General features: G+C 47.5%; 1 protein-coding gene across 2 annotated transcripts in view, besides 4 other annotated features; it reads left to right on the forward strand.

The window, feature by feature from the left end:
* Positions 1–22,399, forward strand: part of TCF7L1 (transcription factor 7 like 1) — a 176,996-nt gene that overhangs the window by 152,082 nt on the left and 2,515 nt on the right. Inside the window, exons 5-11 of one of the 2 annotated variants that reach the window (XM_006712109.3) lie at positions 17,011–17,143; positions 18,419–18,524; positions 18,782–18,865; positions 19,787–19,930; positions 20,733–20,892; positions 20,979–21,086; positions 22,169–22,244. In XM_006712109.3, coding sequence (XP_006712172.1) covers positions 17,011–17,143; positions 18,419–18,524; positions 18,782–18,865; positions 19,787–19,930; positions 20,733–20,892; positions 20,979–21,086; positions 22,169–22,244 — 811 coding nt within the window. The remainder of the gene's footprint in view (positions 1–17,010; positions 17,144–18,418; positions 18,525–18,781; positions 18,866–19,786; positions 19,931–20,732; positions 20,893–20,978; positions 21,087–22,168; positions 22,245–22,399) is intronic. The other variant, NM_031283.3, reaches the window with a different exon arrangement.
* Positions 151–220: a silencer, noted in NCBI's record as "silent region_11695". NCBI's record gives its function as "represses an Ori minimal core promoter by ATAC-STARR-seq in GM12878 lymphoblastoid cells {active_cell/tissue: GM12878}" and the evidence as "EXISTENCE:reporter gene assay evidence [ECO:0000049][PMID:35858748]".
* Positions 4,477–4,977: an enhancer, noted in NCBI's record as "H3K4me1 hESC enhancer chr2:85517073-85517573 (GRCh37/hg19 assembly coordinates)". NCBI's record gives its function as "activates a minimal SCP1, AML or CMV promoter by ChIP-STARR-seq in primed H9 embryonic stem cells {active_cell/tissue: H9 hESC(primed)}" and the evidence as "EXISTENCE:reporter gene assay evidence [ECO:0000049][PMID:30033119]".
* Positions 8,906–9,577: an enhancer, noted in NCBI's record as "H3K27ac-H3K4me1 hESC enhancer chr2:85521502-85522173 (GRCh37/hg19 assembly coordinates)". NCBI's record gives its function as "activates a minimal SCP1, AML or CMV promoter by ChIP-STARR-seq in naive H9 embryonic stem cells {active_cell/tissue: H9 hESC(naive)}" and the evidence as "EXISTENCE:reporter gene assay evidence [ECO:0000049][PMID:30033119]".
* Positions 20,740–21,240: an enhancer, noted in NCBI's record as "H3K4me1 hESC enhancer chr2:85533336-85533836 (GRCh37/hg19 assembly coordinates)". NCBI's record gives its function as "activates a minimal SCP1, AML or CMV promoter by ChIP-STARR-seq in primed H9 embryonic stem cells {active_cell/tissue: H9 hESC(primed)}" and the evidence as "EXISTENCE:reporter gene assay evidence [ECO:0000049][PMID:30033119]".

A 22,399-nucleotide genomic window follows, 5' to 3' on the forward strand; every position in this document is an offset into this window, starting at 1 on the left:
GGAAGGAACCGTGAGTGCGGGACCAGCCATCCGGGAAAGGCAGCAGGTTCTGCAGCCAGTCGCCAAGGCACAAGCTGCTGTTGAACAAGCACTCCACACCTCAGGCATAAGCCAGGGTAGTGGCTTTGGCCCAGAGTCCCACTTGGGATAGCCAAGCACGAGGCGCGGGTGCCCTCTAGTGGTGCCAGTCAGCCCTGGTGGAGGATGTGCGGACCACATCTGCCCACCCTAGACCTGGCTCGTGCCCTGCACCTCCCCCCAGTGCAGCCATCTCTGTTTCAGATCTGTGCCTTCCTCTACCTCTCCTGTGCCGTCTGCCAGCCCACTCCTGAAGACCTGAGATGGCTGGGTCCTCTGTCTTAGTTTCTCTCTGCATATTGTCGCATCTCCATCTACTTTTCAAGAATGTTATTTCCCTTTAAAAACTAACACATGAGGCCGGGCGTGGTGGCTCACGCCTGTAATCCCAGCACTTTGGGAAGCTGAGGCAGGCAGATAACCTCAGGTCGAGAGTTCGAGACCAGCCTGACCAATGTGGAGAAATCCTGTCTCTACTAAAAATACAAAATTAGCCAGGCATGGTGGCGCATACCTGTAATCTCAACTACTCAGGAGGCTGAGGCAGGAGAATCGCCTGAACCCGGGAGGCAGAGGTTGCAGTGAGCCGAGATTGTGCCATTGAACCCCAGCCTGGGCAGCAAGAGCAAAACTCCATCTCAAAAAAAAAAAAAAAAAAATCGGCGTGGTGGTACGCGCCTGTAATCCCAGCTATTTGTGAGGCTGAGGCAGGAGAATTGCTTGAACCCAGGAGGTGGAAGTTGCAGTGAGCTGAGATTGCACCACTGCACTCCAGCCTGGGCAACAGAGCAAGACTCTGTGACTCAAAAAACAAACAAACAAAAAAAAAAACTAACATATAGTGGCCAGGTATGGTGGCTCATGCCTTTAATCTCAACACTTTGGGAGGCCAAGGAGGGAGGATTGCTTGAGGCCAGGAGTTTGAGACCAGTCTGGGCAACATGGTGAGATCTCTACAAAAAAGACGGAGTTTTGCTCTTGTTGCTCAGGCTGGAGTGCAATGGCGCGATCTTGGCTCACCACAACCTCTGCCTCCTGGGTTCAAGCGATTCTCCTGCCTCAGCCTTCCAAGTAGCTGGGATTACAGGCATGTGCCACTATGCCCGGCTACCTTTGTATTTTTAATAGAGACAGGGTTTCTCCACGTTGGTCAGACTGGTCTCAAACTCCCAACCTCAGGTGATCCACCCTCCTCGGCCTCCCAAAGTGCTGGGATTACAGGCGTGAGCCACTGCGCCTGGCCAAAATTTTTAAAATTAGCCAGATGCAGTCATTCACACCTATAGTCCCATTTACTCAGGAGGCTGAGCTGGGAGTTCGGAGCTGCAGTGAGCCATGATTGTGCCACTGCACTCTAGCCTGGGTGACAGAGTGAGACCCTGTCGTGAACAAAAAAACAAAACTAACACGTGTACTCTGAGTTTCCCATTCTTCCTTTTGCACAGAGCAATCCTCTGAGAAATGAAAGAAAAACCCTGTGTTCAGCCTTCCTGTTCCTGTGAGCACCGTCCTGTTTCTTTTTTATTGTTTACCGCCTGACTTCCCACACCTCTGTCACCTCCTTTATTCTGCCACTCCACTGCAGCCCGGCTTAGCGCTTCAGTCACCATCGAATAACTAACTCCACTCATTTTCCTGCTTTTTTGCAACACAGCCGACAGCCAAGGCCTGACTACTCTCTGCTTCCTGTAAATCTTATCATTGACTCCAAGATACTGTATTAATACACATAATCAGTTGTTTGTCTTTTTGAAGCTTCCATTTTCTTTCTAGACTTTTATTCAAATAAATCAACTCTTCATCATCACTTATTCCTCTCAATGTTTGTGACAGAAAAAATATATAAAATCCCATCAAGAGAGCTGTAGAACTCTCAAGAAAGTTCTACACCCGTAGTTCCAACTGCCAAACAAACATCTAACCATTGCAGATGTGTGCTCTGCAAATAATAACTCAGCATTGTGGTGGAGCAGGGGTCCCTTATTTTGTCTAAGGGCAGAGAAGCATGAACCGTTGCCACACATGGCATTATAGATAGCAACATGGATAGTTTTCTAGTAAATTTTATATTACCGTAGTCTATATTATAATATAGCAAAGCAGACACAGGCCTCAAAAACTTAAGGAACATTTATGGGAGAAAATCTTAACTGGGAATTCAACAGATGGGGAGAAGACCATCATTCTCAGTTTTTGAGGCAGAGCATCTCATTCCAACGAGAGGTGTGTACGTGCAGGAGCAAAACCTGAGACACCCGGGGAGGAGGGTATATGAGTGGGAGGCTGTATAATACACTTGGTTGCAATCCCAGATCCACCTCTTTCTATTTATGCAGCTCCAAGCAAATTACCTCATCTCTCTTTGCCTTGGTTTCCTCATCTATTAAATGGGGATTAGAAGAGACTGACTTCATAGAGTCGTTGTGCGAAAATGAGCCAGTGTATTGTAATGAGTCTAGAATTGTGCCTCTACCACAAAATAAGTCCTCAATAACTATTAGCTTACTACTCCCAGCGTCACCACCACCACTACCGCTACCTCTACTATTATTAAATGAGAGGGAAAGAACAACGAAAATACTGTTTAATTAGCAAAACTAAGAGGTAATGAGGGCCTGAATTAGGTGCCAGAACAAATGGACAGATTGCAGAGGTAACAGAGATAATGAGCCTATAGAATTTAGCATCTAATCCCCCAAGGATATGATTTAATTGGTCTGGGGTGCGGCTGGTATCTTAGTTTTTAAGCTCCCCAGGAGATTCCAAGGGGCAGCCAGAGTCGAGGATCATTGTTGTAATTGCAAATCACAAACCAGAGGCGGAGTGGAAGGAGGACCTAGAGACATCCCAGTTTACTCCATGCGGCTCTCCAGGCTAGACGTGTGAGCAGAACTTGAAGGTTTTTCGGAGGGAGTCACAGAGGTTTGGACACCGGCTTTTTTGTTAAAATACTTGAGATTATGAAATGTATTTTAGAGTCAGGAGTAAAATATTTAAGGTGAGGTTTGCCCTGGGAGTAGAGCAAGCGAAGGAAACAGCCTGCATACTTGCAGAGATTTAGTGAGTCATGTAGAAGCTGCCTAACAAGGAAGTATGTCTAAGCAAGTCACAACTGGGCCCGGGTGCGGGATGAAGTTAAGTGCTTAATAATTTGGACTTTACACCTTCAAAACAAGCTCTAAAGACTAACAGTAACATTGTATAAGCAACTATTTGTAAGATCCGATCAGTGTAATTTCATCACTTGCAGATTATTATCCAGACCCCTCACCATGGCCCCACATGCCAGGTGCCTGTCTTCCCTCCAGTGTCCCCCAGGAGCACTGTGTCCAGCCACGCAAAACACATATATGCCCCTCTAGAATATAAGCAACACGAAGACAGGAATCGCATCTGAGCGCCTGTTGTAATGCTCGGGAGCATTTGTTGAATGAATGGAAGAATGAATGGTCTGGTAAAAAGTTAATACCCCTTCTCTACCCACATTTACCCAAGATCCAACCCCTTTTTTCATTCAGAACTGTTTTTTAATTTTAAAAAATCTTTTTTTGAAACCGTAAAAGTAATGCATGCACTGTGTAGAACTCTTGGGAAAATGCCAGAAAGCACAGAAAAAGATCTATAATCCCACAACCCACAAACATTTTGTTAAATAGTATTTCAGTCTGGAGTGTGTGTGTGTGTGTGTGTGTGTGTGTGTGTATACTTATAACTTGCTCTCTGATGACCAAAATGCTTCCTGTCCAGGTAGATGCCTAATAAATTCTGCTGAGTTACAGGCAAATGGGGCCAGAGACCCAGAGACCAGGAGACAAATAATCCAGATAACTTGGAAATGGTTGCAGTTCTCCAAAACTTTAGAGTGACTTAATCCAGCTTTTTGGAAAATGGTCAGATATTCAGGGGTTTTTTAATGCAAATTTTAGCTGTTAGGCTGAGCATCCAGAATCAGAAAAGGGACCTAGAGAGTAAGGAGTTGAGGGATAGAGGAAGGTGTAGAGAAAAATCTAGATGAGGTTAGTGCAAAGGCAGAAATATCTACCACCTTTGAAACTTTGCCACCTCTCTCTTCCTGGTTGCCTTTTATTTAAACATTTTAAAAATAGATAGACATAGATGGTTTCCAGTTGTTTGTTTGTTTTGAGACAGTCTCACTGTTGCCCAGGCTGGAGTGCAGTGGCACAAACTCAGCTCACTGCAACCTCCACCTCCTGGGTTCAAGAGATTCTCCTGCCTCAGCCTCCCGAGTACCTGGGATTACAGGTATTCACCACCACGCCCAGCTAATTTTTTTGTATTTTTAGTAGAGACGGGGTTTCATCATGTTGGCTAGGCTGGTCTGGCACTCCTGGCCTCACGGGATCCGCGCACCTCAGCCTCCCAAAGTGCTGGGATTACAGGCACGAGCCACCACGCCTAGCCCAGTTTTTTTTTTTTTTTCTCCGAGACAGAGTCTCACTATGTCGCCCAGGCTGGAGTGCAGTGGTGCGATCTCAGCTCACTGCAACTTTCACACTCCGGGTTCAAGCAATTCTCCCTGCCTCAGCCTCCCAAGTAGCTGGGATTACAGGCGCCTGCCACCACACATGGCTAATTTTTGTATTTTTTTAGTAGAGACGGGGTTTCACCATGATAGCCAGGCTGGTCTTGAACTCCTGACCTCAGGTGATCTGCCCGCCTTGGCCTCCCAAAGTGCTGGAATTACAGGCGTGAGCCACCTCACCCGGCCCCAGTTTTTAAGCTAAAGTTAGCATCCTGTGCATATATTTGTATACGTGTGCGCTTTTCCCCCCATTTAAAAAAAATTAGAGTTAGGGTCTCGCTATGTTGCTCAGGCTGGCCTTGCACTCCTGGCCTCAAGTGATCCGCCTGCCTCAGTCTCCAAAAGTGCTAGGATTACAGGCATGAGCCATCATGCCCAACCTCCCCATTTTTAAGATATAATTTACATATAGTGAAATTCACATGAGTATATAGTTCTGTGAGTTTTGACAAACTTTTGCAGTCATACATGAGTTCACCACAATCAAGATATAGAACAGTTCTCCTAGTCAGCTTAGCTTGGTATGAAAAGTAAAAATAAAAAAGATATAGGACAGTTCTGTGTTAGGGTTCTCCAGGGAAACAGAACCAAGGTGATGTATGTATATATAGCGAGTGAGTGAGTGAGTGTGAATGTGTAGAGGGAGAAAGATTTAAGAGGGTAAGCTGGCAGGCTGGAGACTGGCAGGGAAGAGTTACAGTCTAAGTCTAAAGGCAGTCTGCTAGCAGAGTTCTATTCAATTTAATGCTCAAGAATAATCCTCTTTGGCACCATTCATTCTCTGTCCTTCCAGCCCACCAGGATGGGAGCTGGGAGCTGTGCCCCTGAGGCCCTGGGCGGCAGCCACACCTTGTGAATCCCCTCTTGGGGTCATTCTTCCCTCTTCTTGAAAGATAACAAATGTTTGCAGCCACATCACTGTAGCCCATTCTGTAGAAGTCTGACAGCCTTCCTTCCCTTTGTCCTGTCTTTGTCCATTTTAATCCAAAAGGGCAGTATTTCTGCTGAGGTGGTTGGTTGAATCCATGCTTCACAGCCCCAGTCTCATTATCTGATCGTCCAGCCACACCATTGGTGTTCTCTTAGGAACACACCTTCTCATTTTTTTGCAATGAGGCTAGGCTGAGAATTTTCTAAATTTTCAAGTTCTGGTTCCTTTTTGCTTAACAATAATTTACTTCTCACATTTTACTACAAGCAGTAAGGAGAAACCAAGCCACACCTTCAGCACTTTGCTTAGAAATAACTTGTGCTGAATATCTAAATTCATCACTCACAAGTTCTACCTTTCACAAAACACTACAAAATAACTCAGCCATGTTTCTTCCCACTTTGTAACAAGAATCGCCTTTCCACTAGTTCCAATAACATGTTCCCCATTTCCATCTGAAGCCTCACCGGAAGCACCTTTAACATCCATATTTTTGGGGTTTTGTTTTTGTGTGTATGTGTTTGTTTTGGTTTTAGTTTTGGTTTTGGTTTTGGTTTTGGTTTTGGTTTTAGGACGGAGTTTCACTCTTGTCACCCAAGCAGGAGTGCAATGGCACATGATCTCAGCTCACTGCAACCTCCACCTCCTGGGTTCAAGAGATTCTCCTGTCTCAGCCTCCCGGATTTTGGTTTTTTGTGCTTTGTTGAGAGACAGGATCTCACTCTGTCACCTAGGCTGTAGTGCAGTGGCATGATCATAGCTCACTGCAGCCTAAACTCAAGCATTCCTCCCTCCTCAGCCTCCCAAGTAGCTAGGACTACAGGTGTGCACCACCACATCCAGCTATTTTTATTATTTGTTGTAGAGATGGGGTTCCACTATATGGCCCAAGCTGGTCTTGACCTCCCAGGCTCAAGTGATCCTTCTGTCTCAGCCTCCCAAAGTGCTGAGTTTACTGGTCATATGTATTTTTTTTTTTTTTTTTTTTTTTTTTTTTTTTTTTTTTTTTTTTTGAGACGGAGTCTCGCTCTGTCGCCCAGGCTGGAGTGCAGTGGCACGATCTCGGCTCACTGCAAGCTCCGCCTCCCGGGTTCACGCCATTCTCCCGCCTCAGCCTCCCAAGTAGCTGGGACTACAGGCGCCCGCCACTACGCCCGGCTAATTTTTTGTATTTTTAGTAGAGACGGGGTTTCACCGTTTTAGCCGGGATGGTCTCGATCTCCTGACCTCGTGATCCGCCCGCCTCGGCCTCCCAAAGTGCTGGGATTACAGGCGTGAGCCACCGCGCCCGGCCGGTCATATGTATTTTTAAGGGAGAATGGGAACATTTCAATGGTAGCTGCCTTTGGGAAGTGGGGAGGAGCATAAGACTGGTGGAGTGTTTAAGAGGATTTAACTTTCTGTGATGTTTTATTTAAGAAAAAAAGAACAAAATTTAAAAGCTATAAAAACAATCCCACATGGCAGGTTTTGGGTGTGGTATCATTCTTTATACTTTTCTGTATTTCTCAAAAAATATTTTTGTAGACTTTATGTCTTAAGTTAGCTATTTCTCTCTTTTTGTTTTTTAAGACAGGGTCTTGCTCTGTCACCCAGGCTGGAGTGCAGTGGCACAATCTTGGCTCACTTCAACCTCCACCTCCTGGGCTCAAGTGATCCTCCCACCTCAGCCTCCCAAGTAGCTGGAACCACAGGTGTGCACCATCATGCCCAGCTAATTTTTTGTATTTCTTATAGAGACGGGGTTTCGGCATGTTTGCCAGGCTGGTCTCAAACTCCTGGGCTCACCCAATCTGGCTGCCTTAGCCTCCCAAAGTGCTGGGAATACAGGCATGAGCCACCACACCCAGCCCAAGTCAACTATTTCTTTCATAATGCTGTGTAACAAACAATTCAGTGGCTTACATTAGTAAACATTTCTTTTTCCACTGATGGACCTGTGGGTCACTTGGAGTGGCTGTTTTAGCTTGTTAAGGGGGAGGTTCAGGTCTTCTCCACATGGCTCTTATCCCAGGACCAGTGGCTATCCAGGTCATGTCCTTCTCATGGCATGTGGCAGATACAAAAGAAGGGAAGCAGATTGAAAGCTTCCTTTCACTTCATTTCATGTCCACTAATATTCCATTGGTCAGAGCAAGTCATAAGGTGATATGGTGTGGATCTGTATCCCCACCCAAATCTTGTGTCTAACTGTAATCCCCAATGTTAGAGGTAGGGCCTGGTGGAAGGTGACTGAATCACGGGAGTGGTCCTTCATGAATGGTTTAGCACCATCTCCTGGTGCCATTCTTGTGATGGCGAGCAAGTTTTTATAAGATCTGGTCATTTAAAAGTGTGCAGGACCTCCCCCCACTCTTTCTGTCTTGTTCCTCCTCCACCAAGTAAGATGCGCCTGCTTCCCTTCACCTTTCTCCATGATTAAAAGTTTCCTGAGGCCTCCCCAGGAGCCGAGCAGGTGCCAGCATCATGCTTTCTGTACAGCCTGCTTAACTGTGAGCCAATTAAACCTCTTTTCTTTATAAATTACCCAGTCTCAGGTATTTCTTTATAGCAATGCAAGAACAGACTAATACGTAGGGGCAAGTCTAATACTGATGGGGCAAGGGAAGGAAAGAGAATTATAAATAAATAGTAAAAGCAAACACATGGCTACATCCTGACCTATTGATCTTGTTTAGCATTTGAGATTCAAGAATGTAGAACATACTCTAAACAGAAATAAATTATTGCAAGTGTTAACAGTCTCGTGTCCAAGTACTTCCTGTCAGAGTTTAGCATCTTCAGTAGGATCAAAATTAGAATTTCTCTTGGTTGTCGTCTTCTCAGTATTAGAAGGACCCTACCAATACTGTTTAGACACTGGCAGCATCTTCCTTATCATCCGGTTGGTGGGTCTCTTGAGCAGGCATCGGAGTCATCTGGGGAACTTGTTAAAACAAAGATTGCTGAACCCCACCCCTAGAGTTTCTGATGGAATTTAGGTGTGGCCTGAACACTGGGATTTTTTTTTTTTTTTTTTTTTTTTTTTTGAGATGGGGTCTCCCTCTGTCGCCCAGGCTGGAGTGCAGTGGCACGATCTTGGCTCACTGCAAGCTCCACTTCCCGGATTCACGCCATTCGCCTGCCTCAGCCTCCTGAGTAGCTGGGACTACAGGCACCCGCCACCACGCCCGGCTAATTTTTTGTGTTTTTAGTAAAGACGGGGTTTCACCATGTTAGCCAGGACAGTCTCGATCTCCTGACCTTGTGACGTGCCCGCCTCGGCCTCCCAAAGTGCTGGGATTACAGGCGTGAGCCACCACGCCTGGCCGAGCATTGGGAATTTTAAAAGCTCTCTGGATGATTTCAACTCTGGGTGAATCACACTTTGCAGAGTTTGATTCAGTGGGTCGCGGTAGGTCGAGCCTGAGAATTTGCATTCTAACAAGTTTCCAGGTGATGCTTATGCTGCTGGTCTGGGGACTGAGCTTTGAGAACCACTGGCATAGGGACATTGTCTGCACTAGTAATGGTAAACACCCAGTTTTAGCATTGCAAATTGGGTCACTCTCAGAAGCAAACTGGAGAGTTTCATGTCAAATTATTGATTGCTGAGCCAGTGCTGGATGCTCTCTGAAAGAACATCAATAGCTCTGCCCCAGCTTTGAGCTGAGAAACCTGACGCTGCTTAACATGCCAATTCTCAAAAATATTCATTGGAATTTCCCTTTTACAACTGTACATACAGCCAGGCACGGTGACTCACACCTGTAATCCCAGCACTTTGGGAATCTGAGGTGGGAGGATCACTTGAGCTCAGGAGTTCGGGACCAGCCTGGGCAACATAGTGCGACCTCACCTTTACTAAAAATAAAAAAAATTAGCCGGGCATGGTGGCACATACCTGCAGTCCCAGCTACTCGGGAGGCTGAGGTAGGAGGATTGCTTGAGCCCAGGAAGTTGAAGCTGCAGTGAGCCATGATCAGGCCACTGCACTCCAGCCTGGGTGACTGAGACCCTGTCTGAAAAAAAAAATTTTTTTAAATAAAATTCTACATAACTTCTCCATCTTCTTACCAGTATACCTGTGTAGATGCAGAAAACTCCAAAACCCATAGCATATCCTGTTGGTGCTCTGTACTACCCTCAATACTGATTGTAATTCTTAATACACAGTAATAACTTTTGTTTTGTTTTGCTTTGTTTTGTTTTTTGAGACGGAGTATTGCTCTTGTCACCCAGGCTGGAGTGCAATGACGCGATCTTGGCTCACCGCAACCTTTGCCTCCCAGGTTCAAGCGATTCTCCTGTCTCAGCCTCCCTAGTAGCTGGGATTACAGGCATGTGCCCGCATGCCCGGCTAATTTTGTATTTTTAGTAGAAACAGGGTTTCTCCATGTTGGTCAGGCTGGTCTCGAACTCCCGACCTCAGGTGATCTGCCCGCCTCGGCCTCCCAAAGTGCTGGGATTACAGGCATGAGCCACCGTGCCTGGCCACTTTTGGGTATTATTTTAACTCCCAGAAAAGTTTCAAGAATAATACAAGGAACTCCCATATAACCTTTATCCAGATTCACACATTTTTCCCCTGGGCTTTGTGCTTCTCTTTCTCTCTCTCTCTCTCTGTTTTTTCTTTTCTGAAAAGTTTGAGAGTAACTTGGAAACATTGTGACCCTTTACCCTTAAATATTTTAGCTATATTATCTAAGAACAAAGGCATTCTCTTAAATAATCACAGTACAGTCCTCAAAATGAAGAAAGTAACATTTACTTTTTTTTTTTTTTTTTTTTTTGAGACCGTCTCGTTCTGTCGCCCAGGCTGGAGTGCAGCGGCACGATCTCGGCTCACTGCAGCCTCCGCCTCCTGGGTTCAAGTGATTCTCCTGCCTCAGCCTCCTGAGTAGCTGGGATTACAGGTGCCCACCACCACGCCCAGCTAATTTTTGTATTTTTAGTTGACACAGGATTTCGCCATGTTGGCCAGGCTGGTCTCAAACTCCTGACCTCAAATGATCCACCTGCCTCGGCCTCCCAAAATGCTGGGACCATAGGCTTGAGCCATCATACCCAGCCAGTAACATTAACTTTTCATGTCATTATCTTACTCACAATATAGATTGAACTTTTGGCCGTGTCCCAATAATGTCCATGATAGCCCATGTGTTTCTCCTGGTCCCAGGTTCCACCTGGCATCATGGATTACATGTAGCCCTCATGTCTCTTTAGTTCCCTCGAATCCAGCAGAGGTCCTTAGCCTGTCTTTGTCTTTCTTGACCTTCACATTTTTTGAGAAGTACAGGCCAGCTGTTTTGTAGAATGTCCCTTAGTTTGGGTTTGTCTGATGTTTCGTCATGGTTAGATTCAGATTGTGCATTTTTGGCCAGAATGTCACTGCACTAAAGTTGCATCCTCGTTACCTCATTTCAGGAGGTAGCCCTACAGTCTGCCTTTGTCCCAGTATTAGTGATGTTAGCATCAACTGTTTGGATTAGGTGGTATCTGACAAACGTTTCCACCCTAGGGTAACAATTTTTCCCTTTGTAATTAATAAGTGTTTTGTAGGGAGAGGCTCCAAGGCTATGCCAATGCCCTATTTCTCATCAATTTTTCACCCACTAGTTTTAGCAGGCAGTGATGGTTTTCCACCTGCATCGTTCCTTCTGTTCATTTCTGCTGTTGAGCTTCAGCGTCTTTGAAATTCTTACTCATGTCTCCCAGCCCATTCGTCTTTGTATAGACTGGAGTTGACATTGTGGCAAGTCACATTTGTGCCATTTGTAACTGTGATGAGAAAGTCGCTGATAGATACAGAGAAAAAAAATTAAAAACCATTCTACAAATAGTGTTTCTAAAGAAGAGACCAAACTGAAGGAAAAGAGGCAATTAAGAAAGTTAAAATGGGCTCTAAAAACAAAAACTTGAATTTATGGATTGAAAGAGCTCCTTTGAATTCTATAAAACTCAATGAAAATTGACATTCACCTAGACATATCCTAAAAACAGTTCAAATTGCAAGGGTTTAGAAATGTTTTCCTTCAAGCACCCATGCAGAAGAGAAAAAAAGGCAAATGCCAAAGGAACAAAAATAAAGGTAACCTTAGGGCTGTCTTTTGCCACCCTTAATGCCAGCAAACAGTGGGAAAAGAAGAGTTTGGGTAAGGAAAGGCTTATCCCAAGAATGACAAATCCTGTCCTACTTGCAAAGACCTCAGAAACATACCATTGCTCAGAAGGACCTGAAAGCACATTCCAGGTCCCAGAGTCTTTTCTCTCTCCTATTGCCCTGCAGAGACTCTTGACTTACCTTCACATTTTTCGTAGCCTGCAGCACACCACTTTCAGGAGCTCAGAAAGTATTTGTTGACCCATCCGTACAGACCCTCATTCTCCTCTCTGCTGCAGCCCACTGGCCTGCCGTGGGTCCTCACACGTGCTATGCCAGGCATACTACACTAGTGTTTCTTTGGCCAAAATGTCCTTCCCCACAATCAACGTGTCCAGCTCCCCACTTCTTTCAAAATGTGAAAGTCATGCTCTCAGGCCAGGCGCAGTGCCTCACACCTGTAATCCCAGCATTTTGTGGGGCCCAGACAGGCAGATTGCTTAGTCCAGGAGCTCAAGACCAGCCTGGGTAACATGGCAAACCCCCATCTCTACAAAAAATACAAAAGTTAGCCCGGCATGGTGGGAAGATCCCGTGAGCCCAGGAGGCAGAAGCTGCAGTGAGCTGAGGTCACACCACTACACTCCAGCCTGGGGGGACACAGTGAGACTGTGTCTCCAAAAAAAAGTCATTTTCTCATTGACACCTTCCCTGGTCATCCTGGGAAACATCCTGTTTAACCTGCTCACCCCCTCTATATTTCTTTTCTACTTTCTCTTAGTTTTTCTTCTTAGCATTTTAACACTGTATTAAAATATTTTAATAAACTTATTTATCTAATATTTTTTATTTTATTTTATTTTTGTTTGAGACAGAGTCTCCCTCTGTCGCTCAGGATGGAGTGCAGTGGTGCGATCTCGGCTCACTGAAACCTCCACCTCCCAGGTTCAAGCGATTCTCCTGCCTCAGCCTCCCGAGTAGCTGGGATTATAGGCATGTGCCACCACGCCTGGCTAATTTTTATATTTTTACCGAGATCATGCCACTGCACTCCAGCCTGGGTGACAGAGTGAGACTCCATCTCAAAAAAAAAAAAAAAGTGCAGGCCGGGCGCGGTGGCTCACGCCTGTATCCCAGCACTTTGGGAGGTTGAGGTGGGCAGATCACGAGGTCGAGAGATCGAGACCATCCTGGCCAACATGGTGAAACCCCGTCTCTACTAAAAATACAAAAATTAGCTGGGCATGGTGGCGGGTGCACGTAGTCCCAGCTACTCGGGAGGCTGAGGCCAGAGAATTGCTTGAACCTGGGAGGCGGAGGTTGCAGTGAGTCGAGACTGCACTCCAGCCTGGTGACAGAGCAAGACTCTGTCTCAAAAAAAAAAAAAAAAAAAAAGCATGTGAGAGAGGACACATGGCTTCCTAGGGAGACCAGAGTTTAAAGACCTTTGTCTTGTACCAACTCTAGAAACAGACTGAAATAGACGGGAAACACCTGAGCTAGAAAGAGCTGGCTTGCAGCGCTTGCCTGAAGGATTTAGGTCTGAGGTGGCTCTCAGGGGCTCTTTGGATGCATCTGGATTCAGCTTCCTGGCCATGCACACCCATGCCCACGCTTGTGTGTTTTGTCCCTGTTGGGGTTATCCACAGAGGGGTGTGCGGTGGTTCCCTACATTCCTAGTCCTCGGTTTGGGTATATGCTGTGAACATCCTGCCCCTGGGGGCAGCTGAGGAGAGTAATGAGCAGGAACTTTTATTGGGACAGAAGCCTGCAAGGAGAACCTTCCTTCTAGGAGGCCACTATCTACTTACCGCCTTCCCTCCCGGTTCATTTTCTGGACAATGATGCCACCTAGTGGGAAACGGTAAGAACTCACACAGCATTTCGACAACTATACATAGATCTTCAAATAAAAATTTCCCTACTTTGTATTAGGTTGGTGCAAAAGTAATTGTGGTTTTGCCATTAAAAGTATGGCCAAAACCACAATTACTTTTGCACCAACCTAATACTTAATTCTGTTACCCATTGAGTCCTGTTTGCTGGTTTCTCCCCAGGCCAAATACAGCACATGAGCAATCAGGATTTGCTAATACTATCACCAGTTTTTAAGACAGCTATAAATGATGTAAATAAATGTAAATTTAAAACTGATGCAGAGGCTGGGCGTGGTGGCTCACACCTGTAATCCCAGCACTTTGGGAGGCTGAGGCAGGGGGATCGCCTGATGTCAGGAGTTCAAAACCAGCCTGGCCAACATGGTGAAACCCCATCTCTACTAAAAATACAAAAAAATTAGCCGGACATGGTGGTGGGTGCCTGTAATCCCAGCTACTTGGGAGGTTGAGGCAGGAGAATCGCTTGAACCCAGGAGGCAGAGGTTGCAGTGAACCGAGATCACACCACTTGCACTCCAGCCTGGGTGACAGAGCAAGACTCTGTCTCAAAATAGAATAAAATTTTATTTTGAGCCACTGAGCCCGGCACAGTGGCTCACACCTGTAATCCCAGCATTTTAGGAGACCAAGGTGGATGGATTGCTTGAGCGCAGGAGTTCGAGAACAGCCTGGGCAACATGGTGAAACCGCGTCTCTACAAAATATTAGCGAGGTGTGGCAGTGCGCATCTGTAGTCCCAGCTACTTGGGAGGCTGAGGTGGGAGGATTGCTTGAGCCTGGGAGGTAGAGGCTGCAGTGAACCGAGATTGCACCACTGCACTCCAGCCTGGGCAACAGAGCGAGACCTTGTCTCAAACACACACACACACACACACACACACACACACACACACACACACTGATGCCCAGAAAGGCTTAATGAAAGGAGATATGCCAAAATGACCATAGCGACAGGGTTAGGATGGTGCAGTTATGTTGTCTAAATGCTTTGTGATACAATTATGATATAGTTTGCATTTCTTTCTTAGAAAGTTTGTGTTATTCATAGTATATTTTTTTAAGTAGTAGATCATGGTGAAAGTAAAGTTGGAAAATATGGAAAGAGAGACAATAAAGACAAAGTTACCCATAGTTTCACCACTCAAATATAACTTGTTTACATTTTTGGTGTGCTTCTATTTAGCCTTTTTTTAAATTACAGAGTTTATGTATTTTTTAATTGTGATTATGTATTTTCACGCTGGTAATAATTCTATTGGATTTATTTTACTAAAAGTCACCCTTTAGACAAAGCTGTTTCCAGAAACTATCATTAAGATGCATTGGCTTCCTGGAAATCTGATCTTACAATAATTTTTAATATTTTTGTGTTGTATGTTCATGTATATGGAGATATCTTCAAAAACGAGTAATTGGACAGGTGAAAACAGTAAGAAGACAGTACTTTTTAAATTCATGATGCAACATCCAGTGAGCCCACCAGCCACCAGCAGGGCCCAGCTGTGTGCTGGCGCCACCTGGTGGTCATGGTTATAAACGGTTTAATTCTCCGCCTCTCCTCTCTGCTTGGCACACTGAAAAGGAACAAGGCTGTGGTGAGCTCAAGGATACCCAGGAAATCTATGGATTGGAGTTTGCATTATGAGTACCAAATAGGCACCACATGAAAGGAAAGAAAGGTCTCATGGAATCTACGAAATGAAAAATTCAAAGAGGAATATAGCCATTTGGAGTTGTAGCCCTTGGGTTACCTCCAAATCATCTTTTTTACAAATCTCTTTTTTTTTTTTTTGAAATGGAATCTTGCTCTGTCACCCAGGCTGGAGTGCAGTGGCACGATCTCGGCTCACTGCAGCCTCTGCCTCCTGGGTTCCAGCAATTCTCCTGCCTCAGCCTCCTGGGTAGCTGGGACTATAGGCACACGCCACCATGCCCGGCTAATTTTTGTATTTTTAGTAGAGACAGGGTTTCACCATGTCGGCCAGGCTAGTCTCGAACTCCTGACTTCAGGTGTTCTGCCCGCCTTGGCCTCCCAAAATGCTGGGATTACAGGCATGAGTCATCGTGCCCGGCCACAAATCTCTTTTAAAAAGAAATCTCTTCTCCACTTGTAACTCACTTATCTTATTATCAAAAAACATAATTTCTGTCCTTTCTCTGTGACAGATAAGTTTTACGTTTTGAGAAGGTTCTGGGAGAGACAGGTTGTACAAGAGAAAACATTCTTGTTTATTAGAGCCATAAACAGCTGATATGAATCCCAGCTCTGCCACTTACTAACCGTGTCCCAGGCTAAGTCATGTAATCTTTCTGGGCTGTTCCCTCATCTCTGGAATGGGGGTAATCACAGCTTCTTTTCTAGGTTATAAGGAGTAGAAATTATGCCTGGTGCTGTGTTTGTAATGCAGGGTTCAGTGACCTGTAGATGTTTTTAAAATAAAAAGCCTTATGGATAAGTCAGATTAGGTTTAAACAATTAAAAAGTTAATTCTGTTTACCAATTGTAGAACGCACAGGTTTTTCCCATGTTAACATCTCTGAAGATGTGTCTGTGGCGTGCCAGCGTTTTTCTCAATAGCTTTATAAAATAATGGTGCTCCTTCCATTTGGTGGTGTTTTACACAGAATGTGGTAGTGAGGTCAGCAGAGTAAAGTGTTACAGAGAGAAGTGTTTCAAGTGCTTTAGGGTTGTGTCTGTAAAGCCTGAATATGAGACTTGGTAGTATGAGGTCTAATGGGGGCAACTCTCCCCCTGCCCTGTTCCCAGTCCCAGACTTGAACCTGAGAGCAACTGTTTCTATGAAGTTTATTTGAAAAATGTGTGTTAAACCTTTTCAGGGCCGGGCGCAGTGGTTCACACCTGTAATCCCAGCACCTTGGGAGGCCGAGGCGGGTGGATCACCTGAGGTCAGGAGTTCAAGACCAGCCTGGCCCACATGGTGAAACCCTATCTGTACTAAAAATACAAAAAAATTAGCCAGGCGTGATGGCAGACGCCTGTAATCCCAGCTACTCCAGAGGCTGAGACAGGAGAATTGCTGGAATCCGGGAGGCAGAGGCTGCAGTGAGCCGAGATCATGCTACTGCACTCCAGCCTGGGTGACAGAGCAAGACTCCATCTCAAAAAACAAAACAAAACAAAAAAAAAACCTTTTTAGATTCAATGAGATGACACAGCGCAGATCATCCCTCAGCAGCCTGTAGTGTTTGAGATGACACAGCGCAGATCATTCCCCAGAAGCCTGTACTGTTTCCCACACACAGTGCACGTGAGGGGAGCGATGGAGGGTGGGTGTGATCCCTTCTCAAGTCCTGCTGCTCTGCTGTGTCCACTGCTGTCATCTCTCAGGGACTGTTTTGAGGACTGAATGGGATGTTGCCTGGAAAATACCTGGCACTTACTTGATTCCATAAATAACAGCTGGTCATACTCTCCATCTCCTTGGCAACCATTCCTGGTCTTTTTTGTCTCTTTCAGTCTAATAAAGTTCCTGTCGTTCAGCACCCGCATCACATGCATCCGCTGACTCCCCTCATCACCTACAGCAATGACCACTTCTCCCCCGGCTCCCCTCCCACCCACCTCTCCCCAGAGATCGATCCAAAGACAGGTAAGTCGTCTGCCACTCAGGCAGTGCTGCTGCAGGGCAGGCGGGCTTCTCTTTTGTGGGAACATAACAGCCCTTGAATCAGGCTGACCTGGGTTCAAATCATGGCTCTTTGTCTCAGGAGTCTTTGGACCTTGTCTGCTAACTTTAGCCTTGTCATTTTTTTTTTCATCTGTGCCTCCCCTGTACCTTCTCCACCATAGGGTCACGATAAGGCCCACAGGAATTAAATGCAGTAAAGCACAGGGCCTGGCTCCATAGGCAGTGTGTGGGGTGGCTCTGCCCAAGTCTAGCCCAGCTGTGGGCCGTGCTTCCCTACACCAAGACATGTTTGCCCTAAACTGAACATTTTTAAATAGATTCATCAGTCTAAGCAGACACAGAAGTGCAACCGTAAAGCAGTGAGGCCAAACTGGCTTTTATTTATTTATTTATTTAAGACAGTCTTGCTGTGTCGCCCAAGCTGGAGTGCAGTAGTGTGATCTCAGCTCACTGCAGCCTTGACCTCCCGGGCTCAAGCAGTCCTCCTCCCTCAGCCTCCCGAGTTGCTGGGACCACAGGCGCATGCCACCATGCCCTTGCCCAGCTAATTTTTGTATTTTTAGTAGAGATGGGTTTCTGCCATGTTGCCCAGGCTGGTCTCAAACTCCTGGACTCAAGCAGTCAACTCACCTAAGTGCCGGGATTACCGGTGTGCCACCATGCCCAACCTGAACTGGCTTTTTTTTCTTTTTTTTTTTTTTAACTTGCCCACCAGACCTGTCCATTCCAGGGAGCCACTGTCTTTATAGCATTCACACAGAGTTGCCAGGGGAAGGCAAAGCATTTTTGGAGCCCCTCTTTGGAGAAATAACAGTCACTACAAGTTACAGATAATGAGGAAGACACATGTGGAGGAGGAATCCAAAGTTTATTTCTCCATGAATGAGGCGGGCTTTCTAGAGACTTGGTTCACCAGTGACTCTTGTCATTGGTCTTGTGGGTCCTGTCCCTCTCTTCCAGGACGCTGGCTTCTGTATCACAGCCAGCTGGAAGATACTCTTCACAGAGATAGAATCCGTGCAGCTAGAGAGGGGGTGCATTAGTCCTGCCTCCCCTGAATATGTCCTTGACTGACTGGTGAGAGCTGCTAGGGAGTTGACAGAGGGCAAGGACAATGACACAAGCACCTGCTAGGCTCCAGAGCACCAGGGACATAGGGCAGGATGCTCCCATTTGATGTTCGTTAAGGTGCTCTGGCAGGGCGAGGGAACAGTCTGACATATCTCTCTTTGGAAGCAGGAATCCCCCGGCCCCCTCACCCATCCGAGCTGTCACCGTATTACCCACTCTCTCCCGGAGCTGTCGGACAAATCCCCCACCCCCTCGGCTGGCTCGTCCCACAGTAAGGAACCCACAGCCTCTCTTCCCCCTGCTCCCTCCTTGCGCTGAGCTCTGCCTCTGTGCCCTGCGCGCCCTGCACAGTGGAGCCCCCTCAGAGGCAAGCCCAGGACTAGGCCTCCCTGCCCCCGCCCAGGCAGCGTGCTCCCAGCATTACCTTCCCGCTTCCTTCCCATATTTCTCATCCCTTCTTCCCAAGTGCCTCTCTTCCTCTGCCCTGAGCTTTCCCAATATGCTGACCAGATTTCCTCCCCCTCACAGGCAAGGCCAGCCCATGTACTCCCTTCCTCCCGGTGGCTTCCGGCACCCTTACCCCGCCCTCGCCATGAACGCCTCGATGTCCAGGTGAGTCCCGGGGCTGGGGCTGTCCGCATGTTTGTCTTAGCAACCACGCCATTTCTGACCACGAAACAGCTTTTTCTTGCCAGTTAATGAGCAGGCACAGGGCTCACCCTCCCCCCACCTCTCTTTGATCAAGCATCTTCTCACGTCCCGCGCTCCCCACCCCCAGGTCAGAATGGAGACCACAGGATCACTGTCCCCATCTCTCCAACAGAAGGATTGCAAAGCCCTAGCACTCTGCCTCCTGCCATGGGCTCTGGCACTGAAGCATTTTGAGGACAGATGCTCCCCGACTTAGGATGGAGCCGCGTCCTGATAAACCCGTCGTACATTGAAAACACAACTTTCCCCTTAGAATATTTGCAACATATGATGGTTTTATCCAGACATAACCCCATCTAGGTCAAGGAGAGTACTGAATTAATATCGTTTTTGCACCATCGTAAAGTCAAAATATCCTAAGTCACGGACTGTCTGTATATCACACTGAAGCTAGGGACTGGGAGAAGATGAATTTTTCCTGAAATGATGTCAGGAGAGGAGACGGTGAAAGGGGATTTCTGTCTCAGGGACCAGCTCTACCTGACAGTGGAACCTCTGAGGACAGAGGAAAGCTGCCCACAGCCTAAGCCCTTCTTTTCCCCAGTATGCCCGGGCCTCTGACCCTCCTCCCCTTTTGTGTGTTTCATCCCACCTGCTTCCAGCACCAGATGGGCAGCCTGGGTGTTGGTGGGGAGAAGGAAGAGCCATTAAGCATCTCCCAAACCTGGTTTTCTAGAAGACGACAAATAGCCTTCTAGTCCTGAGACTCTGCCCCACGGACATGCCTGTGCCCTTAAGGCAGAGAGCCACCGTGTCCTCTGCTGGGTGGCAGGTATCCAGCCTGAACCCCTCTGTTGCCATTTGTTTCTATCCGGTGCACAGCCTGGTCTCCAGTCGGTTCTCTCCTCACATGGTGGCTCCTGCCCACCCTGGCCTGCCCACCTCAGGGATCCCCCACCCTGCCATCGTCTCCCCCATCGTCAAGCAGGAACCGGCACCCCCCAGCCTGAGCCCTGCAGTGAGCGTGTAAGTAAGCGGCAGCCTGGATTCAGGTGGGAGGGTGCAGGCTGTGGGGAGGGGTGGCCACACTCTGAGCAGCAAATGTCATGTACTCTTCTCTCTTGGTGTCACTCAGCAGGCATCACAGCCTCCCCAGCCAGGCCCTCCCTCTTCCTCGGGACTTACTCCCTCTGACCTTCTGGGTCCCTGTCCTTTCAGGGACATGGTGCATCTTCTCTCTTATTAAGGAAAGTTTTACTGTCAGGTCTCAGAGGCTGAAAGAGAACCTGAGAAAGCTTTTAACACCCCACCGTAAGATATATGAAAAGGTGAGGCCCAGAAAGGAGACAGTGTTTTCTTAAGGACTTGTGGTGGGCTGGTGGCCGAGCTGAGATGAGCACCAGGGTCCTTACCTTGCCCGTGTACCATAAAGATGGCAGGAAGCCAAAGTCAGTGCTCCCTGGAGATCCCAAGAGAACCCCCTCCCAACTTGGTTCTGCCCAGAGTGCCCCACACTGTGTCCTGTCACCGCCGCCAGCACCTGCCAGCTCCAGTGAGAGCTCATCTCAGCAACCCCACCATGCTCTGTTCCTCTGTCAGGAAATTGGAGAGTAGATTTTCAAAGAATCTGGCGTGGAGATCGTTCAAAGGTGGGAAACTACGGGAGGAAGGTACTCAGGTGTTGAGTGCAGCCATGGGGCCACTTGAATTAGCATCCAGGCAGCCCGCGCCCCTCCCCAGAGACAATCAGCGGTGTTTCAGTGACAGGTGGGGATTGATGAGTTGTGTGACACCTGACATGCTAACCTACAACCACGTGCCTTCCCAGGAAATCACCAGTCACCGTGAAAAAGGAGGAGGAAAAGAAGCCCCACGTGAAGAAGCCTCTGAATGCCTTCATGTTGTATATGAAGGAGATGAGGGCCAAGGTGGTGGCTGAGTGCACCCTGAAGGAAAGTGCAGCCATTAACCAGATCCTTGGAAGAAAGGTAAGACCTGCCCTCTCCCTCCAGGCCAGGGAGGCAGCGTCCCTGCATTGATGGCTCCGTGTGGTCTCTGACCCTCTCTCCCCCAGTGGCACAACCTGTCTCGAGAAGAACAGGCCAAGTACTACGAGCTGGCCCGGAAGGAGCGGCAGCTTCACTCGCAGCTCTACCCAACCTGGTCAGCCCGGGACAACTATGTAAGTGCACACTCTGGGCAGAGGACGCTCAGACCCCAGGAACAGCCTCTGCAAGAGGAGGAAGGGTGAAGGAAAGCAACTGCATTTATTTTTATTTATTTTATTTTCTTTTATTTTTTGAGACAGAGGCTCACCCTGTCACCCAGGCTGGAGTGCATGCAGTGGCGCGATCTCGGCTCACTGCAAGCTCCGCCTCCCCGGTTCACACCATTCTCCTGTCTCAGCCTCCCGAGTAGCTGGGACTACAGGCACCTGCCACCACACCCGGCTAATTTTTTGTATTTTTAGTAGAGACGGGGTTTCACTGTGTTAACCAGGATGGTCTCGAGCTCCTGACCTCGTGATCCGCCCACCTCGGCCTCCCAAAGCGCTGGGATTACAGGCGTGAGCCACCGCGCCCGGCCAGCGACTGCATTTATAGAGGACTCTTAAGATCAGGGAGAAGCCCATACTTCTCTAGAAATAAGGAAGGTGTTTTAATTCTCAGGAGGTCAACAAGTCCTGAGGACGGACTTCAGTTGATGCATTTCCCTTTGAACTGGACTCTGCCCTCGATTTCATAACACAGGGCACGGGGTTAGCTGTGGTAGGAAGAGTTGTCTCCAGCCACTCCTAACCCAGGGCTCAAAGACCAGTGTGTGAGCCTCAGGGGGCGTGTCTCTAAGCTCCCGGAAACCAAGCCAATTTTCGCATGCGTGTTCTTCTTTGCTTTTTTTCTGGTAAGAGGACCCACAGTTGCATCAAACTTTCAAAGGGACCTGGGACCCCTCAGAAAAGATCTAGAAGCACTGTTCTAGGGAGAGAAACAGAAAAACAGAGTCTGAAGGGCAGTGGAGGGAGGAGGCCTTCCAAGAAGGCCTGGACACCCGACCTGGAGGGGAAACGCGTTTGTAGGGGAGGAAGGGCTCCCTCTGCCTCCTCACGGGCTCCCACGGCTGTGATCTGAATTATCTCTCCACACTCTCCCTGAGGGATCGAGAGCAGTAAAGGGCAACGTCCTGTCTTCTCTCTGATCTGGGAGCCCCTGAGAAGCCAGCATTCTTCTCTCCCAGCTTACCTCTTCCTTTGGCTGTATTTTCCAGGGTAAGAAAAAGAAGAGGAAGAGAGAAAAGCAGCTGTCCCAGACACAGTCACAGCAGCAAGTCCAGGAGGCAGAGGGTGCGTCTCGGGGCACTGGCCTCTTCTCCTGCTTTTCCTTTTGTCACAGCCACACCTGCCCATGCTGTCTCTAGCTCCCTGATGGGTCAGGGCTTCTGCCTCGGTATTCGCGGGCGGGTATTATTACCCCTTTCTCGAGGTGGCCACTTAAGAGG

Source organism: Homo sapiens, chromosome 2, assembly GCF_000001405.40.
Source record: "Homo sapiens chromosome 2, GRCh38.p14 Primary Assembly".
In the NCBI taxonomy this organism is placed as follows: Eukaryota; Metazoa; Chordata; class Mammalia; order Primates; family Hominidae; genus Homo; species Homo sapiens.